The sequence below is a fragment of the Homo sapiens genome, chromosome 2 (assembly GCF_000001405.40).
Source record: "Homo sapiens chromosome 2, GRCh38.p14 Primary Assembly".
Lineage (NCBI taxonomy): Eukaryota > Metazoa > Chordata > Mammalia > Primates > Hominidae > Homo > Homo sapiens.
In genome coordinates this window covers 204,470,598-204,494,171 of record NC_000002.12, presented here as the reverse complement: position 1 = coordinate 204,494,171, position 23,574 = coordinate 204,470,598, and the positions used below count along the sequence as shown (strand labels likewise).

The 23,574-nt window shown below is 40.4% G+C and overlaps 1 long non-coding RNA gene across 2 annotated transcripts, besides 1 other annotated feature; it reads right to left on the bottom strand.

The window, feature by feature from the left end:
- Nucleotides 1-18,149: 18,149 nt before the first annotated feature.
- On the bottom strand, nucleotides 18,150-20,360 carry LOC105373845 (uncharacterized). Of its 2 annotated transcripts, none has more exons than XR_923799.3 (3): nucleotides 20,280-20,360; nucleotides 19,602-19,711; nucleotides 18,150-18,815 (listed from the first exon to the last, which is right to left on the bottom strand). It is a non-coding gene; the product is annotated as an uncharacterized LOC105373845 (long non-coding RNA). The 2 variants fall into 2 exon arrangements; XR_923798.3 differs by lacking the exon at nucleotides 18,150-18,815 and adding an exon at nucleotides 19,194-19,403.
- Nucleotides 19,437-20,636: an enhancer, noted in NCBI's record as "MED14-independent group 3 enhancer chr2:205338259-205339458 (GRCh37/hg19 assembly coordinates)". NCBI's record gives its function as "activates an origin of replication core promoter dependent on BRD2, BRD4, P300/CBP and CDK7 cofactors, and independent of MED14, by STARR-seq in HCT116 cells {active_cell/tissue: HCT116}" and the evidence as "EXISTENCE:reporter gene assay evidence [ECO:0000049][PMID:35650434]".

Sequence of the window (23,574 nt, the reverse complement as noted above, 5' to 3'; positions counted from 1 at the left end):
TTGGTAATTGTGAATAATGCTATGGCCATTCAATCCTAGTTACAGATCAGAATAACATGTAGAACTTTAAAAAATTACTGCTGTCTGGGCCTTACTTTAGATCAACCAAACTCAACTCTGGGAATAAAAATCAGATGTGGTTGCTGTGGCTTTAAACCTTCCCAAGAGATTCTATTGTGCAGCTAGAAATGTGAACTGCTGATTTGATTTACATAAGGCGAGCTGAATACAAGTCCCAGGTGCAATTTCTTTAAGGGTTAATTTATTTAAGATTCACGTACAGAACAATCACATGGAGGGCTTCTTGAGAAGGCCTAGACCTAGTTCTCAGACTGAAGATTTTGATTTACTAGGTCTTTGATAGGCCTTAGGAATCCTGATGTAGTCATATGGTTATGCTTTGTGGCCCCACCCAAATCTCTTCTGAATTGTAATTCCCAGGTGTTTAGGGAGAGACCTGGTGGGAAGCGATTGGATTAAGGGGGCAGTTTCCCCCATGCTTTTCTCATGATGGTGAGTTCTCACAAGATCTGATAGTTTTATAAGGACAGTTTTCTCTGCCCTTGCGAGCTCTCTCTTTCCTGCTGCCATGTGAAGAAAGTCCTTGCTTCCCCTTTCACCTTCCACCATGATTGTAAGTTTCCTGAGGCCTCCCCAGTCATGTCAATCTGTGAGTCAATTAAACCTGTTTTCTTTATAAATTACCCAGTCTCTGGCAGTTCTTTATAGCTGTGTGAAAATGGACTAATACATGTAGCTATCCTGGAACTCTAGTTTGAAGAACACTAACTTCCAGACTATTTAGCTTGACACAGAGAAACTGCATATCTTTGTTACATTCTGATAACCATACTATCTTGGCATCTCTAATTGCAAGGAGCCATTTGTCATAGGAGAAGCTGAGTGAAAGCCTAGAGATGGTTCAGAAAATCTGTTCACTGTTATGGAGAAATAATTTGGACCAACTGAAATGTCAACTATACAATACTTGATATAATAGGGATACTAGGGATACATCAGTAGAGAAGAATCCTGGGACTCCCTTTCTTACTTTGCTCTTTTTTGAGTTCTGTCCTTTATTGCATGAATTAGTCCTCAAAGAACTTTTTGTCTAGACTGTATCTACTAATGACTTTTTTAAAAAGAGGTAAGCATCAATGTCTTACTTTTTCTCTAACACTCTATATTGTGTTTGTGTCAGAAATGCATACAGTATAGTGACTTTCATCAAGTTGTTCCTGGATCCACTTGGCTGATGTTTATTTCATAAGGTAATATTTTAGATCATAATACTTTAACCCTGAAACAGAGATATTTAACTTTTTTAGAATTAAAACATTTCTTTTTATATATTTTGTTGTCTCTAGTCACGCTTTCAGGAGTGCTGATCAATTATCCCACACCTAGAAGCCCACATAATTGAGTGACAATGCATTTTTCACGTTCTCACATTCACTACAATAAAAAAGCTTTCAAACTTATTCAACCTTCTTCTGTGTTACTGCATGGCAGGGTTATTGGTATTTGATGTGTCAGACATGAGGAAAATTCTGTCTTTCCAAGCATGGACAGAAATGCACTTAAGTGTAAAATTATGAAGGGTGTAATTTTGCACTCAAACTTCAATTACAATAATTCTTTCAATTAACATGCCCTGTTTCTTGTTTGCTTGGGCCCTTAAATCTGACAGTCTTCTCTTTCCATAAGAGAACACATAGAATTTTACCTAAATACAGCTTGGAGAGAAAAGTGCAGTTGGCAGTTTTATTATTCTTTCTTATTTTTATTACTCTCTAAGTTTAACTCTTGTATTTTGACAGCTTTCAAAAAAGTATTCACAAGACTTTGCTGTATTCCAAGAATGACAAGTTCATGGAGAAATTTGACTGCTTTGTCAAAGCTGGGTCACATAAGCACATGACCCTTTTTGAGGACTTCGTAGGGCAGAGACAGAAAGGTAGTTACCTGACAACTTCAATGGGTGAGTATGAAGCCCTCTCCCTGTGGTCTCTAAAGTCGGGGTACCATATATTCTGGATTTGGGGGTCCAGTCTTAGGTTGAGAATCTGTAGCAGCCCGTATATTCTCCTGACTAGGCCCAGGAGAGCTTAAATGTTGAGATATGTAGGTAGGTTATCTGCCATATTTGGGGATTAAAACCAACCAAAAATATACCTCTAAAAGGACCTGGACCTCTTTGAGGGTCTTCTAGGCAAATCCTAGCAAAATGATGGTGGGCCCAAAACAATTTCTTAAGAGGAATGATGAATGAATTATGGATGCTTCACCAAGAGGGGGAAAAGACTCAGTAGGGGACCCATTAGCTGACTCCAATGGTTTGGAAGAATGCCAGGTGTTGCTGTCCATGTGATGAGCCAGCACACAGGCTCTTTTGATCATGACAGAACCCTCAGCACCTTGAGCTGATTTTTATTGTTTGGAAGTGGGTTTAGTCTCTGGGATTGATGAGTAGGGTTGCCATACAGCACTTTCCCTGGAATTCAGCCAGCAGCTTGAATCCAGCTATGGCATCATTGTCCTGGCATTTGGTTTCAAACAATAGCATTCTATAAAAAAGTATTTAATTTAAAACTAGAGGAAAGATCTTTACTGTTTTTCTCTTGGCTAATGGGAACTTCTTGTCAAAGCAATAAATGCTGAAAAATTATTAAATTTTAAATTAATAAGGCCATAGGAAAGGTATCTGCCCAGTGGGGATTTCCAGCACAGTCTCAGACAAGGCCTGCCTCACTGTTCCAGCAAGTTTTCAGCAGACTCAGTGACCTTTTCCTAAGACCCTCTGCAATCCATGGGGTGCTTGGTAGAAATTTGTACCTCCATGCTTGTCAAACTACAGCCATTCAGTGAATATAATGGATGGTACAATAAAATAAATTATTTAAATAGTAGTAATAGAACAAAAAGCACTGTATGTTTTTGGGGATACAATATCATTGCTGGAATAAGCAATTCCTTGAGCAGTAACTAATGCTAATGGGAAGACACTATGGCTGCATGTCATTCTCGGAGTTACTCTGATTCTGAGGTTCAAAGCTACTATTGTACAATCTGGGACTTTTACTGGTCTGCAAGTCTTAGTCTTCAGGGTACCTACACTCAGAAATCAAGTAACCTCCTTTTGTCTCTGTTAGAACTTTCTCATGCAAGCTTAGTATGTTTCATTTCATGAGTAATTGACTCGAGAATATGATTGTGACTTGCTATAGTCCTTCTTGTCACCTGGGCAGAAGCCTGCAAAGGGATAATATCCTAATGGATTCACCCTTATTGAAAGTCAGGTTTTCAGTACTACAGTTCCAAACAGCAGTCCTTATTTTTTCCGCAGAAGAGTGCTACGAATCAAACGCATAACAAAATGATTTATAAACCAGAAAATTAATTTCCATGAAAGTTCAAACCACCTCCTTGGACCGGAGAGTCATTTTCTTAGATTGCACATCCTGTCTCATTAGGCAAATCTACATGGGAAGGCACTTGGTAATCCGAGGGTCACTTTGTGACTAGGTCATCAAAGTAGAATGATATTTATCATTTAATGGCATCAAGAAAAAGTAGTTAACACTTATTGAATGCTTACTATGTATTAGGTACCTCTTGCAGGATCATGATTCACCTCTGTGTTCTTTATGCATTAGGCAGTGTTCTAAACATTTTTACATATTAACTTATTTTATTATCCATTATGTCAGTATTATTATCATCACCCCCATCTTACAGATAAGAAAACAAGCCCAGAGGGGTTAGGTAACTTGTCTAAAGTCACTGGTAAGTGGTAGAACTGGGATTTGAACATAGACTTAACCCCCATTTTTACCCAATACACTCCCTCTGCTCCTTGGGGATGCATCTAATACACTTTCATTCACTGATCAATGGGCCTCTCCTCCCAGGTGAGTAACAAGAACTCTGAAAACGTTGCCTCTCACACTCATTTTCTGGATTTCCAAGCTGCTGATCCCATAGTGTTAACACATGCTTTCTTAGAAAATGTTAACACCACTGATTGGTCATTGCCAAGATCTGATCTTGTTGCTTTCAATTTGAGCCATATCTCTCAAGGTGACTTTTCGCGTATCAGATCTCACTTACCTTGTGCTGACTATTAGTCTACCTCCTGGAACCCTGGGAATGCCCCTCTAACAGTATGGTCCACACTGTATTACCTACAGTTATGTTCAAAAGTGTCAGGAAAACATGCACACAGTGAAACACATTGATCAAAAGTTAAAAGGGAAGAGACAGCGTAGAAAAAATTTATTTCTAATTGGAAGAAATAGGACTAACATTCTCAAAATAATTAGAAAACCAGTAAACGCTAAACCACATGGCTCAATAGGTATTTAGGGAAAGGAAAGAGCTGCACCTTTCTTTTCAGGGATACAAATTTTTGTTTAATGTGTCTTAGAAATTTGGGAAGATACTCTTAACTCTCAAAAAATCAGCCCTTAGAGGCACAGCAGGTAATTAGGTTCCACCTAAGGTTTGAGATCTCCTAGATTTTAACCTTAAACATTTAGCCCATATGCCATTTTAACAAATCATAACAGTCCTTATAGACAGTCCTGGACTCTTTGCGAATATGATCTGTCAATGCGCTTTCTTTTTATTTAACTTTTTCTGAGCACCATGCTCTGCAGCACATGGCTAGTAAGAAGCAGTTACTGAAATCTGAGAACTATCAAAGAGGTGGAGAAAGAAATGGGGGTACAAACCGTACATAAGCCAAAGAGACAGCTTACAATTATTCCTTCACTTCTCTGAGAAAAAAAAAATAGCACACATCAGTGGAACAGGCACTTGCAATGACAGAATTCTGTCAATAACAATTGGTGGAGTGTGTTCTATTTGCTCATCAATGCACTTTTTGATAACCAGAGTCCATAGCTGTGCTTACACAATGGCAAACATATTGCTCATTCTTAACAGCCAGGGGCTTCCAAACATCTCAATATTTATTATAACACATGAAGAAAAAGAATTTTCAATGTCTTTCTCATATTTTATTAGAAGGTTTTGACATTGTGAAGGCAATATCTGAATCTATGTTGTGTGACTCAATGGCTTGTATACATTAAATATTCCATTTGAAGGCTCCATAGCAAGCTAACTTTGCTTATTCCTGGAATTATTGTGCAATTACTGTGGTACTTAACTACAGCTAGATGTTTTAAGTATAGGTTAGTGCAAATGTAATTGCGGTTTTTGCATTTGTACTAACCTAATAGTTAGCCGTAAAAGGTAAAACAGGTATTTTAAACACATTTAAATCATCTAAATATTCCTATTGGAAGAAGAAATGACCATATTACAAATCAGAAGTAATATCATCCTTCAGAGAGAATTTATGATTAAATACACTTTAATACATAGAACAACTGAACAGCACAGAAAAGAAGTAACTGGAGCGCAGCAATGATATTTAGCCTGTATATTCTCACTGGTTGCTATTAAGTCCTGATTTGTTGGCTCTGTTCTGATTAGTGAGTGTCTGGTTCTGGTTGGTTGATTCCTTTCAATTGTTAAATATTTGGATTGATTTCTGATTTCTGAAGCAATTGTTAACGATTTTGAATATCATCTCTACTTGAAGATATACTATAATACCATAGAGCCAACAAACTCCAAATTATCAAAGGGTTGTTATAAAGCAACACTTTCTCTAGCAATAAAAAGGCACACTTGGATATATTTATATTCTAAAATAGGTATCATAGAATAAATACCACAATGAAAGTCACACAGTGGGAAAATAAGTTGTAAACTTAAAATCAATGGCTTATGTATAATGATAAACACACAGATTTACTATGTGCTAACCACTGTTTTAAGCACTTTACATATCTTGGCCCATTTACTTTTCAAAGCAACTCCATGGGATAGGTTTTATTATTATCATCTTTATACAGATGAGAAAATTGAGGCACAGAGTGATTGAACAACTTACATGAACTTACTAACCAATAAGGGGCAGAGACTAAGTTCAAATCCAGGAGTTTGGCTCCAGAGCTATGCTTTCAACACCTATTCTCTCTGTCTCCTTTAAAAAGATATGTAGAATTCAAATAAACATACAAGTTAATAAGTGTTCAAAAGCGATAAAGACCCTTTCAAGGGGCTGGAGTCCGTGTCCTGACTGCAAGTTGTAAAAACAGTCTACAACCTTGCAGTGATTAATTGCGAAAGAGATGAATAGAGAGTTAATACATGAAGAAATAAATTCAGTAAATAATTACATTAAAACCCCAATCTTTGTTGAGATTAGAGAAATAAGAATTAACTCATTCAATAAATGTCTCAAATTAGCAAAAATGAATAAATATGAAGAAGCTGAATTTCATCAGGGCTATGAGAAGGCAGGCTCACGTCCAATGGCTGTTGCCGTAAAAAATTGACTAAAGCTTTCTGGAGAACCATTTGGAAGTAGGTTATGAGAGCTTCTGAACAAGAGTTTATTTTTCTTTCATGCAGGAATTCCAGTTTAGGAAAAAAATGCCTCAAAGAGAATAACCCAAGGATGACATAAATGAGTGCTATCTTACAAAGATGTTTGTATCATTGATGTATACAATGGCAGGATTTTATAGTGCCTGAGATGCACTACAAAAGGGGAAGAGCTAGACAAGCTGTGGTATGTTAAGAATTCAGAACGTCATTCTTATTAAAATAGTAAAATAAAAATTTGTGAGATTTATCCATATGTAGAAATATATAAGTGAAAAAAATGAATCTGAAGATGAAATACACACACTGATGGCAACTATGGAAAAACACATATGCATTATTTGTTTAAGGCCTCGGAAAGAAAGGGATGGATGTAAGAATTGAGTATTGGTGTGTGTTTGCCTCTTTATTAATCTTATGTTACTTAGATTCTCATTGGCTTGCTCTCTTGTGTGTGACAAAACAAGTAAATGAAATAAGGAAACACATTTCTGAAATGAACTCATTTTATCTAAACTAAATTACTCTCTCTGTCTCTGATACGATCCTATATGGAGCTGCCTGGGAACCCTATCTGATAGCAAACATCAGGATAGGGCACATGAGGAAGAAAAAAGGAGAAGTCAATGCATGTAAGGTCAGGAAAAATAGTCTGAGCATTCATCATACTTGGCAGAAACATACATGCAAGAACAACCCCACCCATAACTAGTCACAAATGGTCTGCCAAATGAAAGACTAAAATAGCAGCATATGTTGGAAATCTTGCTGTCTTTATGATATGCAGAGAGACATTTTCTTTCATACATTTCTTTCTTTTATGCTGCTGAGATCCAGCCTGCCATTTGCTGTGATGTCTTTCAGACTTTTTCTGGGCAAATTTTCGACTTTCTTCTCACCCTGCATAGTGATCTTCAGCATCCAGGCTGAATGTGTCTGTTTGATATTTCAAAAATATACGTGGTCCACCAGAGCCTCTATTTCCATTTAGTTTCCTCCAAACTCCTCACCACCACCACCATCATTTACCATTTACTGAATATTCTACATGTAGTCACATTTGCTTCAGTTAGTGTCATTATGAATATTAAAAATAGAGTTTTGAAAGAAAACACATATACCCCTCTGTGCTGTACCTTCCTCCAAAAAGCACAACGCTGCATAATTTCTCAGATGCAAACTCCATTTTCATCTTGCCAGCAATTTGGCGGTTCTCAAAAGGTTACTGCTCTGAATTTGTTTTCTTTGTAGTCTTGCAGTCCATTTGTTCTGCCTTAATGCTGAAAATCTATGTGGGATCTCGACCTCCATATGCCATACACCAGTAGATTTACCCTTTTCTTTAAAATTTTCCTCTACATTAACATAAGAAGAAGAATGTGTTTCATGATTTGTTAAATTGGCATATGGGCTAAATGTTTAAGGTTAAAATCTAGGAGATCTCAAACCTTAGGTGGAACCTAATTACCTGCTGTGCCTCTAAGGGCTGATTTTTTGAGAGTTAAGAGTATCTTCCCAAATTTCTAAGACACATTAAACAAAAATTTGCATCCCTGAAAAGAAAGGTGCAGTTAATCTACCCGGCCAGTTAGTGACCTTGCCCTAAAGGTAATTCCACCTCAACTTTAATGACCACATAAAAAGGAATGAGCCAAAGTCATAAGCCAAAACCAAAAAAGTAAAAGCTGGTCCTACATACAAAATAATGGGGAGATAAGCACTTAAGTGAAAAGTAAACTTGCTCTATGTCTGGCTGTTTCCTGTGTGTTTCCTACGCATGTGACCATTTTCTACACATTTATGTGTTGTGTTTTCCCATGTGTTTATCTTGGTGCCAAGGTTATTAAGGCAAGTTCCCCAACCTCAAGAGATTTATTTCTAATTGGAAGAAATAGGACTAACACTCTCAAAATAATTAGAAAACCAGTAAATGCTAAAACACATGGCTCAATAGGTATTTAGGGAAAGGAGAGGGCTGCTGAGCTGGAGAAGTAGGGATGTTTCATAGAGGAAGCAGAGTGAGAGGTGGGCAGTGGAGAATAGGAAAGACAGAGATGAGCAAAGAGGAGATGAGAGGAAGATAGGCTGGTGCATAGTGATGGTGTTACAGGAAAGGGGTCTGATCCAGACCCCAAGACAGGGTTCCTGAACCTTGCGCAAGAAAGAATTCAGAGTGAGTTCCATAAAGTGAAAGCAAGTTTATTAAGAAAGTGGAAGAATAAAAGAATGGCTACTCCATAGACAGAGCAGCCCCAAGGGTTGCTGGTTACCCATTTTTATGGTTATTTCTTGATTATTTGCTAAACAAGGGGTGGATTATTCATGGCTCCCCTTTTTAGACCATGTAGGGTAACTTCCTGATGTTGCTATGGCATTCGTAAACTGTCATGGTGCTGGTGGGGGTGTAGCAGTGAGCATGACCAGAGGTCGCTCTCATCGTCATCTTGGTTTTGGTAGGTTTTAGCTGGCTTCTTTACTGCAACCTGTTTTATCAGCAAGGTGTTATGACCTGTATCTTGTGCTAACATCCTATCTCATCCTGTGACTTAGAATGCCTTAACTGTCCGGGAATGCAGCCCAGTAGGTCTCAGCCTCATTTCACCCAGCTCCTATTCAAGACAGAGTTGCTCTGGTTCACAGGCCTCCGACAATGGAGTACCAGGTAGAGGGACAGCGGGGGCACAAGCCCAAGGGAAGAAAGAAGAAGGTAAATGTTGAGGTGGGCCTAGCTGTATAGAAGATCCAGGTAGGGAATGTGGCTTCATAAGGATGGGTGATGGAGGGCTGGACTCAGTGTGGTAGGCACTGGGGAGAGTGGTTGGGGCTTTCTAAGGGAAAATGGTACTCTAGGAAGAATAGTCTGGTAGTGGCTGGAGGCTGGTGAGTACAGAGATTAACGCTAGAAAGCTGCTCCCCTTATTCTGGAAGGTATGAGTTCAAAGAATGCTATTTTCTTGGAGAAAAAGAACAAAGGGGAAGTTTGAGAAACGCTTCAAAGAGGGAAAGAGAAAACTTGATGAAATCTTTAGCTCATAGCGGTTATATCTTGGGAATAAGGTGAGAGAGCAGATGGTATTGGAGATTTTGCATTTGATCTTATACACTGCATACAGTTCAGGATAATTATACATATGTGAATGTATATGTATATACATGTATATGTCTATGTGTGTGTATATGTATATATAAACATGTGTGTATATGTATATGTATAAACATATATGCATATATATTACTTTTAAACAAAGGTCATACATTATTTTTTATAGCAAATTTAAAAAATGTAATCATAAGATTTCGGGAAGACTTCAAAAATAATGACACTACTAACAAATGGGTTAACTGTAAGAAGAAGCTGGCCTCCTTTCTGGCAGGTGTATCTGGCATTAGTGCGCGCATGCACACACGCACACACACGCTCCTCTAGGTCTGATGTGCTCATCATGCATGTCCTTATTTCACCACTTTCTGCCTCTTGGATCCTTATGCTTTGTGGGCCTGGAGCTGTTTTGCCTCCTGCTCCCTTCCCTGATGTCTCTGCCACTCTATCTCTGATTTCTGTATGCCAGAAAGATCTGGCTTTTGCTGCTGCTACTTCTCAACTGTCAGGGTCTCCATGAAGATATTCTGCTGAGTCTCTCTTGAGTTTCTTCAGTCTGAAGTTACCACTTTCCTTCACATCCTACCAGAGGCGTGTGGACTACTCTGCGATCAATCTTCCACACTTGTCCAACTCAGTGAACCTGACTTGCAGTCAAAAGTGATCCACTGCTGGTGGGTTGGCTCAATGCCAGGACTTTGTTGACTGCAGCCTGGGGTGGATTAATGTTCAAGGAGTTCACATTCACTAACAAACAATCAGGCTTTCCAACTGATTTCATAATTTATAGAAGGGATGGCCCTGCCCCTGTAATATACGGCAGTGGCTTCATACATATGAATTAAGAGGCTACATACAAATCAAGCCCTAGAACCTTTAGAGGCTGCATATGTGCCAGCCGGTCAGGGGAGCTTGTGATACAATCAGTAAACAGTGAAGAGGCCAGCATTCTTTATCTAAACTCCAATATGCACACATGGCCTTGCATTAAGAAGGCTTTGGGGAGAATATACCACATTTTATGAGAATGGACATAGGGGTGGAGAAAAAAAGTGGTTGGAAGTGGTGATTTGGCCAATGATGATTATAGAAGAGCAACTGTTTTCTTAAAATAAAGTTAAAGATCATAATACATGACCACAATAGATGCACAACAGAAGACAAGGTGCAGCGTCTTGTGTGTCACTTCTACAGATTTTGCTTTTGAAACTATTAGTTGTGTAATCCCTCGTACGGACTTTTTGTTTCCTGAAAGTTCTGTGCTTTTTGAGCGGAATAATGTACCTACCGTATAACAGGATTTTATCTAATGCTTTTTTCACCAATGCATGCAAAAATAATTAAACTAAAAAAAAATCCCAAGAGCTTTAAAAATTATAACATAGTTTCCATATGAATTTGTAGGACAAGTACAATTTTAATTTTCCAAAAATGAAGCATTTAAATACAGCAAAATCTGTCACTTTTGAATAACTAATGAATGAATGTATTTTTTGTCCAAATCTTAAATATTTTGGCATCTTTAAAAAGACAAAAAATTTTTTAAAGTGAGATGAAAATCTATAATATTTCTGAGATTTTAAAAATAAAATCAGAATACTTGACAAAATCTTTTTAGTAATTTTATACTTTAGGAAATAATTTTGTCTCAAATAGTTGAGATGCCAGGAAATTCTAGGCACTGTACCAAGAGCTAGATGCCAAAGAAGTCATAAATAAGTCCTGCCCTCTTAGAGCTTATGTCCTAGGGGAGGAGACAGAAATCAAAAGTAAACACATACATTTGATAATGATAGAATATGACACTTGATATGAAGGCAATAAAGTGAGTGTTGTTGAGAAATCTCAGAAATAGGTGAGGGAGTGGTCAGTGAGAGCCTCTCTGAGGTGGTGATATTGGGACTGTGATTTAAAGCACGCAAATGAGCCAGCAATGTCCAGATGAAAGGAAGCATATTCCACGTGGAGGGAACAGCCAATTGCCTGGTGCTGAAGGTAGTGGAGTAAGGGCAGGAAGGGAGGCCCTGACCAGCTTTTGTGGGATCTTTTGGGCTACCATAAGAAATTTTCATTTTATTCTAAGTGCCAAAGAAAGTCATAGGAAGGTTTTTGAGTAGGAAGATGATCTGATCTGATCGACATGATCCCGTTTTCATTTTTAAGAGATCACTCTGGCTCCTTGAGGGAATTGGATTAGAGGGGGCAAGAGCTGGAATAGAGAGGCCCCAGGAGGTTACTGAGGTAGACTAAGGGAGAGAGGATGGTAGCTTGATGGAGTGGGAGATAGGAAGAAGGAGAGAAGTAGATGTGCTTGAGCACATTTGCAGATAAAACTAACAGGACTTGCATATGGACTGACATCCAGAAGAGAGGAGTCAAGGATGTCTCCTAGGTTTTCAGCTTTACCAATGATGCATAGTGGTGCTATGTACAGGGGTGGGAAGTCTGACAGAGGAACAGGCTTGTGGGAGAGGAGGAGGAGGATCAGGAGCTCTGTTTTGAATCTAGCCTGAGATTCTTAGTTAACATCCAAGTGAAGATGTTAAACAGGTAGTTGGATATGGAGTTCAGAGTAGTCTGTGTTTGAAATATAAATATGGAGACCACCAGCATGCAGATATAAAGCCAAAGGTCAGAATGAGGTTATCTAAGGACAGTGGGTACATAGACAAGAAGACCTAAAACAATCCAAAAAAGGAAAGGTAGGTAGAGAAATCTCCAGAAAAGGCATAAACTGGAAGATAGAAAACCATGCGTGTACAGTGTTCTGGACACAGGAGGGAAGAGTGATCATCTGTATGAAATACTGCTGAGAATTCAAGTAAGATGAAATCAGAGAAGCAGTCGTTGAATTTGGTAACCTCGAAAATACAATTTCAGTGAAGAGTGAAGCCAAATTGAAGAAGGTGAAGAATGAATGAGAGATGAAGCTATAGATGCAGCATGTGTAGCAACTCATTGGAGGAGTTTGGATCAAAGGAGAAACAGGAAAATAGGAAGTAGCAGGAAGGGGAATGATGAGGTCACAGAGGCTGCATTTTTTTTTTTTTTTTGCAAAGACTGCACATATTTAATACAGAATTGGCTAAATAAATCATGGTACTTCTACACGATGCAACTACATAGCTGTAGAACAGAAGGAGGAAGCCACGTATGAACTAAGATGAAATCATCTCCAACATGTCCTGTTAAGTGAAAAACACAAGTGCGGAACAATATGTGCAGGGTGCAAACTTTGTTTTTAAGGGGGAAAGAGGAATATACATATTTGTATGTTACTACACAGATGCATGAAGTATTTCAAGAAGGATAAACCAGAAGGTAAAAATGCTGGCTCTCTATAGGGAAGAGAATGAAGTAATTTGAGTACCTTGGGAAAGGCGGACTCGACTTTGTAAATCTTTTTGTACTTTTCAAAATTTGTAGGACATGAATGCCTTCCCTTTCAAATAAATTAAATAAACAAACAAACAAATAAAAGATAGTCTCAGCTAAAAGCTAAAAGTTTGAGTGATTGAGTAGAGAAAGAGACACAGTTTCATGGTGCAGGAAATTGAGATGATAAATAAGGAGCAAAGTCTGGTAGAAGTGGGAGGAGATACATACCAGAGCCCTGGTGGAAGCAGCCCACCAGGCTTCCTCCCACCAGACAGAAGCAGGGACACTTTCCTGCACAACAGAAGAGCATATAGGTTTGGATATTTGACAGTGGGAGGATGAGTGTGTTTTGTTTACTTGGTATTCATTCTGTGAGTGAAAGAAGGGGCATCAGCTAAGAGTTCAGGGGAATGGAAGAGGTGGGGAAAATTTAATGGTCTCAAAGGATGGGCTATCCTCCCTTGGGAAACAAAATACATGATATCTGGGTAAAAGTGGGGTGGTCACAAATGCAAAAAGAAAGTAGTTAGGTTAGTTACTTACTATTTTCCCAGTCACACTGAGCTGGCTAGGTGTATGTCCAAGGAAGAGAGGTGATTGGGGTTGTGAACCCAAAATCTATGAGGTCTCAATCAATTTAGAAAGTTTATTTTGACAAGGTTAAGGATGTGCCTGTGATACTGCCTCAGGAGGTCCTGACAATATGTACCCAAGATGACTGGGGTACAGCTTGCATTACACAGGGAGACATGAAGCATCAATCAATATGTGTAAGATGTACATTGGTTCAGTCAAGAAAGGTGGAACACTTTGACGTGGGGGTGGCTTCAGGTCACAAGTAGATAAGAGACAGACTTTCAGTGAAAATACAACTTACATGTGAGGCGGGCGGGTAGAGGAACAACCATTTATGCTTTAGTCTGGTTCAGTGAATCTACATTTTTACATAAACAATAAGGCAGAAGAAGTAGTCAGATATGCATTTGTCTCAGGTGAGCAGAGGGAGGACTTTCCCGCACCTGTGAAGAGGATAAGCTATTGATATTTTAGGGTAAAGATCTTGAGGTCCACAAGGAATGTCCTGTAGGTAAATTTTCAGGGAGGTATGTAGCTTTTTTAAAAAAATAATCTTTGTAGCTATCTTATTTAGGAACAAAATGGGAGGCAGGTCTGCCTGACAGAGTTCCCAGCTCGACTTTTCCCTTTGACTTAGTGATTTTGGGGGTCCCAAGATTTATTTTCCTTTCACAGGGTGTTACAATTCCAGCATGACTGAGGCCAAGCAGAGAAGTTGAGAATGTTTGCAAGAGAGTGATTCGAAGGAACTTCGGAATTTAGCTGGATAAATTGGAGAGTGAAGACCAGGATAGGCAGATATGGATATAGATAGTTAAAAATAGGTGGTTTCCACAGATTAGGGGGTTTCCAGTACATGGATGAATCATTGCAATGGTGTGGGGGAGGGGGGAAGGGAGTTCAAAAGGAAGTGAGCTGGAAGGGCAAGAAATGGCATCTAAGAATGAGATGTGAAGCAATGACAGGCAGCATAGATCAGAACACACCAGGGGACGAGGTAGCTGAGAAGGATGGAGTAGCATGTTGGGGAGATGGAGAGGCACCACCACGAATAGACTGAGCTGTGGAATGAGTCCCTGGGATGAAACAACAGCCTGTGGAGAGCTGGAGAGCCAAACAGTGATCCGAGTGCTAGGGGACTTAGTGAAGGTGAGGATGGGGGGGTGGGGACTGCCGAACAGCTGATGAAGTGCAGTGGAAGTCATGAGTTTCCTCTGAACTGGAGTACTTAAAGGAAGAAAGGGAAAGGGGTTGGAAGACACATGGTGGAAAAAAGACCTAAGGAGTGGCATATAAGAAAAAATAAAAAGCACAACGGCCTCCACTTGTGGGGACTGTAGCAGAAACACGGCCCTCAGAAGAAAGTAAGACAAAAAGGGTTCAGGAGCAGTGAGAAGAGTTGCAGGATGCAGAGGCATTTCCTGAGCAGGCAGGCATGCCAGAGTGCACAGTGATATGTAACTGATATACATCTCTTACCTTCTTTAACCTCGTCTCTTTTTCATCCAGCCAAACGTCTACACCTTTGCACCTGGAGCTAAGACTCTTATCTTTTGACCTCTATCCCCTGGCTCGTTACAAATTCAGAGATGGGCCAAGTGGGGACCAGCCATGGCTCCATCTTAGTTTATAAGGTTTGGAGGACATTACCTGCAACTCTGAGTGTTCCTGGTGGTGACAGAGTATAGCCCCAGGAAAAGAGATTCCATGCTAGCCACATAAGGCAAGGATTATAGCAACTGACTGTAGCCAGAAGTTGAACATACAGTTCTCATATGCAAGCAGGTAGAGCAAACCTGCCCTGCATACCTAGGCCTCTGCCTGTGCACAGAGATAATGAATGCACACAGGCAGTGTAGACTACAAGTGGCATGGGACTGGAATTGGAAATGATAAATGGAAAGAAGAAATGACGTCAAATAATTGTTCAGCAATTTTAAAAGCAGAAGGATGAAACAAGGAAGAACCTGGTCACCCATTTCTGAAGTGGTGGGATCCATAGTTGATAAGGCTTCAAGCTGGGCATGAGGGTGTTTGCCCTTAGAAAAAAAGAGCCATAGGAGGTCACTGTAGGATGCCTTGGGTCTTTTGCACACATATCCTAGCAACCTGAGGCACTGAAGAAAGTTACCCGAGGAGCCCCAAGCATCAGGATTTCCACCACTGGGGAATTTTATTTTAGAGAGCTTGAGGGCTGAGTTACCTAAGCAGCCCTTAGAGCTAACCCTCTCTGCTTGAGGCACTGCGAGAACTAGGGGGCCTTTAAAAACTTTCCACTCAGCATGGCCAATTTAGCAAGTCTTTAATTTTTTTTTTTTTAATTAGCTGAGCATTGTGGTTTGCACCTGTTGTCCCAGGTACTCGGAAGGCTGAGGCAAGAGGGTCCTTTGAACACAGGAGTTTGAGGCTGCAGTGAGTTATGATCGCACCACAGCACTCCAGTCTGAGTAACAGAGCAAGACCATGTCTCTGAGAAGAAAACAAAAAACTTACTACCTGTTCCTCCTTTTTCTGTACCCCCAAACTCTGCAACTGTAATAAAATCCCAAAGAGACCTTAATACCAAGCCATCACTTGCTTTATCACTCACTTCATTAACTTGCATGTATTTCAATCTGAGTAAATCAAGTGACTTTGCTCAGTCTCTCACAATTTCTGGTTATAGCTACTAGCTATAACCTCTAGTATACAAGGTTCTCAGTTCAGTCTGTTTATGGGCCATCTGGCGTTCTTGCATTTCAAGATCAAAGACTCACCTATAACTCTGACCAACTCTAGACAACTTTAAGCCCAAGCAGAACAATATCAGAGAGTCTTGTTCATACTTGTTGCTCAACAAGGGCTGTTTTTCTTCATCCACTACCATGGCCTCACCAATCTCGGGGCATTCCTATGAGCAGTTTGGCATTTCCCTTCCTCCCTACTCTTTCTAAACCCCTTAATATTGCAAATAGATACACACACGTGGTTGAAGTTTTCTTCTCTTCCACTCTCAGCAATTAAGCAGCTAAAGCTGGAGGGATCAGAGAATTGGACTATCAGGATAAAACATAAGAGCAAAATCCAGGGTGAGGTGCTGACTCACAAGCACAAGTTAGAACTGAAAATATTTAAACAATTATTGAGGGAAGCTTTGGTTGGGGTAAGCCTGTAGGGTAGATTTGCCACCAAATAGTGTAGCACTAGCTCTTGATGGTTTGGAGAGAAGTGTTCTATCAATAGGTCAGAACATGTCAGGAATGGGGAGAAGAGAACGTACAGGACCAGACTTCTGCCACAGGCCCCAAACCCTCTGTTACTTTCTTTCTTTCTTTTTTTTTTTTTTTTTTTTGAGACAGAGTCTTGCTTTGTCGCCGAGGCTGGAGTGCAGTGGCGCGATCTCGGCTCACTGCAAGCTCCGCCTCCCAGGTTCATGCCATTCTCCTGCCTCAGCCTCCTTAGTGGCTGGGACTTCAGGCGCAAGCCACCACGCCCGGCTAATTTTTTTTTTTTTTTTTTTTTTTGGATTTTTAGTAGAGACGGGGTTTCACCGTGTTAGCCTGGATGGTCTCAATCTCCTGACCTCGTGATCCACCCGCCTCGGCCTCCCAAAGTGCTGGGATTACAGGCGTGAGCCACCGCGCCCGGCCTGTTACTTTCCTATAGAGCTGGAAGGTTAGACTTCTGCCACAGGCCCAAAAACATGTGGGAAAATCCCTGGCCTTGGGATACTCCTGTAAGAGAATGCCTTGTGTCATTTTGGTTTCTGTGGGCACCCTTCTGGTCCCACAATGATGGAATTTTGGTGCAACTGACTACACAAAGTATTGAATGGCAGAATCGCAGCTCGCTGCTAGGGATTGGCCATGTCAATTTTTCCAACCATGGCACAGGAGAAAGTGTAGCTTTTCCACAAAAGAGTGACATGATTAGCCTAAGAAACTGGTCATCTTCCAGGTCAAACAAAGGCTTTTTCCTTCGTTCGAGCACTTCCTTCAGGCAGAAGGATTTTTTAAAAATAAAACACAGCACAGTTTCATGGGAGGAAATTGACCCTTGCATCATTGCAATGTACTCAGCCAGCCACTGCAATGCTTGTCCAGAGAAGAACATGGAGGCACTGGGCTGGTGGGCAGCTTTTAGAGCGGACAAATCTAGCTAATCACAGCCACTAGACTATCCCTAGCCCAGCAGAAGTCTGTTCAGAGTAGGTGCTGCTTGAAAAACATTGCTTAGTCTCTTCCCAGTGCATGTAAAAATCCTAATTACTCACTATTCACTGTATTTTTTGTACGTTCATTCTCTCTGATTTGGCAAAACTGAAATATCATCGAGGTGACCATGATTTTCATTGGGAGGATATGTGGGTGGAAGGAATGTGTGTTGATTTCAGTTTGGAATATGCAGTAAACACAGCTTCCAACACAAAGACTCTAAATTAGGTCGTTGAATAAAAAAACATGGGATTCCCATTACAATCAACTAGAGCCCTACTTGTGCATCTATAACCAGGTAATAGTAGAATGGATTCCAGAATTAGCTCATTAGGCAGCTACCTCTTAGAACCCTTAATTTCCTGTTCAGTCTTCCCCTAGAATGTTGAGATTGTACAGCTGATAAAATCATGGGTCTCAGGCAGCAAAGACAAATGTGAAACTGAGTTTACTCAACCTATAAGCAGGTTGGCTTTCTTTATTTAAAAAAATCAGAAGAATCCAAGATAACTCCAGTGTAACTTTTTGGTACTTGACAGCCACGGAGCGTATTTTCCTTTTCCAGGAGTTAGAAGCGTCAAGTGGGGAAGTGAGGGAAATAACTGGATATTAAAGATTACCATAACCAAACCCATATTTCCCTCAAGACTGAAAAAGTAAAGTACCACTTAATAATACATGACACAACTTCTACCCTTGGCAAAGCAATATTTTAAACCTAAAATTATATTGTAATTAGCCTTTCAAAAATGTGAACACTTCAATATAGGAGTCCATTAATAATCTAACTGCTGCTGCAAAGCGCGTTCCTCCCACACGAGTAACTTAATTAAACTTACAGCTTCTCATTCCAACCGTCAGACCGTCATGAAAAACAGGTGGCTCCCAACTTCCAGATAATGGAAAGATGGATCTTGTGATGACTTTGCACACCCAGATGAAATTATCTAAATGTCTTCCTTGTTCTTTCTTCTGGCAATTTCTATTGCAAACACAGATTTGCTTCTACTCTACAGGATTTAAAGTTCAAGCACTACCTAGGATAATTCTAATGAAAATTAAATGTAGATTTATATAATCATCTGGGTCATTCCTTATATGAAGATCTAAAAAAAAAAAAAAAAGAAAACCCTCTGTTACTTTCTTACAGAGCTAGAAGGTTAGGTAAGTGCTAAGAATAATTACATCCTAGATGGTGTGATTTCAAGGACACTGACAGGATAGCAACTAAAGGCAACAACCTCTGTGAATCTTCTCTCACTTCTCTAAGGGCTACAGGCCAGGTATCATAAATTCAAAACCCTGCAGAAGGAGGCAAGTGGCTGGAATGGGTGAAGATGGCTGGATGTAAGGGTGGCACGGATGTGGTTAACTGGAGAGTGTGTGTCCTGTCTAGACGGGCAGTCTCCACTCGACTCCAGCAGATCCTTGTCTTGCCTTCAAGAGGGTTGAGTTACCGACTGAGTAGAAGAAGGAAATTCCAATTTGTAGGTTAAATCTTTTAATATTGCAAAAATTTGACAACTAATTTAATATTTTAAACTTTGAGTGGGCCAAACCAAATAATATAAGGGCCCAGGACCACCTTCAGAGACTGATGTGGATTAAGACTTCAATGTGTTTTCCCTCCTAAGAAGCGAGACAGTTTATCAGTCATCTGTGCCTTGCAGTATATCCATAATCTGAGAAGAAACCTTAAAGAGAGAAGGAGATATTCCACCAGTAAGTGGGGAAGGAGAGCATGGGAGGGTGCTAAACTCAGAAGTAAGTGGAGAGGAGGGTCTTTCACGATAAAAAGATAAATATCACCAGGAAATTGGAGACAAAAATTGCACAGAAAAGTGAGCTAAGGTCCACCTCTATGTTCTCACTGAGTAGGTTTGGCACCGTACTTGATAGTGTTGATTTTGAAGACAGGTGTCTGCACTCCCCTGGGCACTCCTGCCTCCATTGGCTTGCCTTAGTGTCCTCAGGCAATCCTCCCAATGAAAATCATGGTCACCTGGATGACATTTCAGTTTTGCCAAATCAGAGAGAATGAACGTACAAAAAAGACAGTGAATAGTGAGTAATTAGGATTTTTACATGCACTGGGAAGAGACTAAGGGATGTTTTTCAAGCAGCACCTACTCTGAACAGCCTTCTGCTGGGCCGGGGATAGTGTCCTTAGGACCCGAAATGCTGGGGGCTTTCCCTGAGTCTGGACAGAGTGCCAGAGTCAATCTCCTCTAGCCCCAAAGGAAAGAACAGCCTTCAGACAATAACGGGCGGAGGTTGGAGGATTGGTACTCCTGCTCCTCTGCGTTCAGTGGATCCCTCTACACTATCTCCCAGACTCTTCAGCACGGCATGAGTAAGCCCCCAGGGTCCACAGGTAACCTGTTCCATAAATGACCCATTACTCTCTCCTTTCCCTTCCCTGTCGTCTTTCCCCACTCCCCTCCTGATACTTCCTGGCATCATCTCCCAAACCACTTAAACTCTAATCTATGTCTCAAGTTCTGCTTCACAGGGAACCCAAATAAGACAAACAAAGGCCCATGAGAACATCTCCTGGAGGTCCTGCTCACCTAAGCTCACCTCAGGCCCGAGACGCCATTTTTATATGACGTAAGTACACAGTATTGTGTTCCCTTAACTACAAAACTGCGATAATTTTGTAAAAGCTGCCACTCCAAGCTCAAAGTATTGTTATGAGGATCAAATACTTAAATGTGCTTCACAGATTGTAAAGTTTCATACAAATGCCTTTTTTAATAACTTATTATTATTAAGATCAAATAATGATGCGTCTCCAGGAGCAAAGATGAGAGAGATAGCGGGGGAAAACGAGCAAGGTGAGGTGCTTTTCTGAACTGCTTAGTAAGTCTCCGAACATGAATATCTGGCTGGATATGGCGGCTTTTATGAGATGCCTTCAAATTTATGACACCACAACAAGGTGGATCAGTCCATCGAGGTGGTGCTATGGAGGCATGTACTATTTACAACGCATTTAATGTGTTTGGAAACTGAGTTATTATTCCCAGGACTGGGGGAAGATAAGAGTGGCTGACAGAAGGCATAAAACCACACCTTCGAAGAGAATTTCATCTGCGTAAACTACAGTGACTAATTCAAACAATGAAGTATTTAGTGCCTGTGACTATTTATAGTAGAAACTAATGGCTCTTTTATACCTGATTTAATGGCCATTTAAAAAGAAAAAGTGTAATAATAGGACAGTCAATGGAATAAGTGATATTTACAGATCAAATGATTAGCTATAGAAAGAGGGAGACATTTTTTCCTAGCACTTTCAACAGTTGAGTTAGACTTGAGCTGCAGTTGGAAATAACTTATTTTTGTTGACTAGACATGTATGTATCTGTGTGTGTGTGTGTGTGTGTGTGTGACACTGGATTAAACACTGCAGGCAGCAGGCATGTGCTTTTTGCCTTTTATAGCAGCTGAACTGCTTTTTAGAATTTTCTTTAGTAGATAGTGATTTCAGGTGATTCTCTTTTCTTTTCCCATGCTGCTAGGTATGCTTTTATTTTTCATGACCACACACATCCTTTTCAAGAGGAAAACCTTCAACAATTTCATCAACACTTAGATTTTTCACTGGCTGCACAACTTTCCCTTTGCTTTGATGGTTTTTAGCAAAGTATTTTATGTAAAAGGGAGTCTTGCTGAAGTATTTAAACATGAACGCCTCTTCGAGAGACAGCCCTACGTCAGTTTCTTAACCTCAGCACAGTGGAAATTTGGGGCTGTATAATCATCTGTTGCAGTTGCGGGGGGGTTGTCTTCTGCACTGCGAGATTTTTAGCAGCATAATTGACCTCTACCCACTAGATGCCAGTAACATCCCCCAAATCGTGACAACCAAAAACATCTCCAGACGTTGCCAAACTGTCGTGTGTATGTGTGTGCGTATGTGTGTGTGTAAAACCACTGTGTGAATCATCAGTGGACACGAGGTGTGCCTAAGGTTTCTGTCACTTTGGGTTCATTGGGGTGTATGAAGCATGTTTTTGAGAGACAGGGGACTTGCTGTGACTGCTAACTCTGCCAGGCCTTTGTGTGGTTTTTGAATGATACTAATTCCTCTTCTGTCATTCGCACTTACCCTCACAGGGTTGTGTGAGAACTAGAAGAGAAAGATCATATTGAGCATTTACTGTGTTCTAGGCCTGTTCTGGATGCTTTAAATAATTGATTTAATCTTTGTAACAGCCTCATACCATCCTCTGTGAGGTGGTATTACAATGATACCCATTTTATAGCTGATGGAATTGAGGTACAAAGAGTTTGAATAACTTGCCCAAGGTCATAGAGCTGGTGAGTAGCGGAGTTAGAATATAAACCTAGGCTCTGTGGTTCTCAAGTCCCTGTCTCTACCTACTTACCACACTGACCCTCTAAGTTAAGTGTATATGAACAGTTTAGAAATGTCGCAGCAGAAAATCCATTGTTAATAAGCTTCCTATGCATACCCAGACCATGCTCTCTAGGGCTCAGACATCCTACGCATCTAACAAGGAGCCTCTCTGTCATGGTATTCCCATTTGCATCGTTTACTTTCCATCTCTACAGCTTTACATTGTATACATCTTTGATGCCAGCCTCAAATGCCCACCTCCCAGGAGCCCTTCCTCTTAATTCCTCTTAATTTCCACATCAGGTGCTCTAGTGCTTCTTGAAGTGCCTTTCTGTTTATACTAACTCTGTGAAATTCATCTGCCTCTCTATCAGTGACATGTATGTGACATATCCCCCTCTAGCAGCAAACTCCTGGTGTTCAGCAGGGACCCTCACAGTGATAGTCCCTCGCAGTGGCCAACATGGAGCCTGGGCATTCTATGTATTGAAAGAGAAAGATTTCTAAATTGGTGAATGACTTGAGCAGATTATTGGATTGAATAATGACAATTTCTACCTATAACTGTTTATCCCTATTTTACAGATGAAACAACTGGGTTGGAGGAAGTCACCCAAAGAGGGATCTTTGTATCTTCCCCATCCCCAGAAACAGCAAGCAATGCAGATGTCATAAGTATATAGTGCAGAAATTAGCTGAGCACAGCCACTTGCCTAAGAGTGACTGAATTCTGCTGGATGAGCAATAGGTGGCAAGAGGGTCCTAAAAGTCCTAATCTACTGTAGGCAACACTCTCCTCACACCAGAGGCCATTTTCTCATTGCCCCGCCTCCACACTTTTTAGGTCATTGCTGTTGAGCATCACCTTGCACTGATAGACGATTTGCCACAAATGTTGAAAAATATCTCATTGATCAGGTTTCACTAACTGTCCAGGCAAGAGATCACGAAAGGACAGACCAGTTGACATGGGCCTGATTACTTTGCTTACAAAAGCTTTTTGTAGCTGTCCTTATCTGGGCTTTGTGCCTGTACTCTACAGTGTCAATTTCTTAGAGAGATTGAGCAGGGCTGCCAAGGGCATTCTTCTTTGTCAAATGTTTCACTTATTGAGTTTGTACCCAGGGAAACATTTATCTCTTGTGGCAGCATTGCTGCCATGCTTGCTTCAGACGCAGGTTCAGTCCCAGTGATCCTTAAGGAGGTCTTGTTAGAGCAGAAGGAATGGATGTTGAGTGAATGAGAGTAATTAGCTTGAAGATGTGTGATCAGAGTGTTGGCATAGTACATTGCCACAAGAAGTGAGAATCAGAGGCCTTCCACAGTGGGGCATGGATCCTAGTTAGCTCGCTGGAGATCACCGAGTGTTCCTTAGACACACCTTTGGTTGACCTTTATTTCAGACTCTGTTGTTAAAGGATACAATTCTACAAGGATTCTCTATTAATGAGAAGCAATAGCTGTATTTTATTCGTAGGTGATCTAAAGGGGGTTTTATC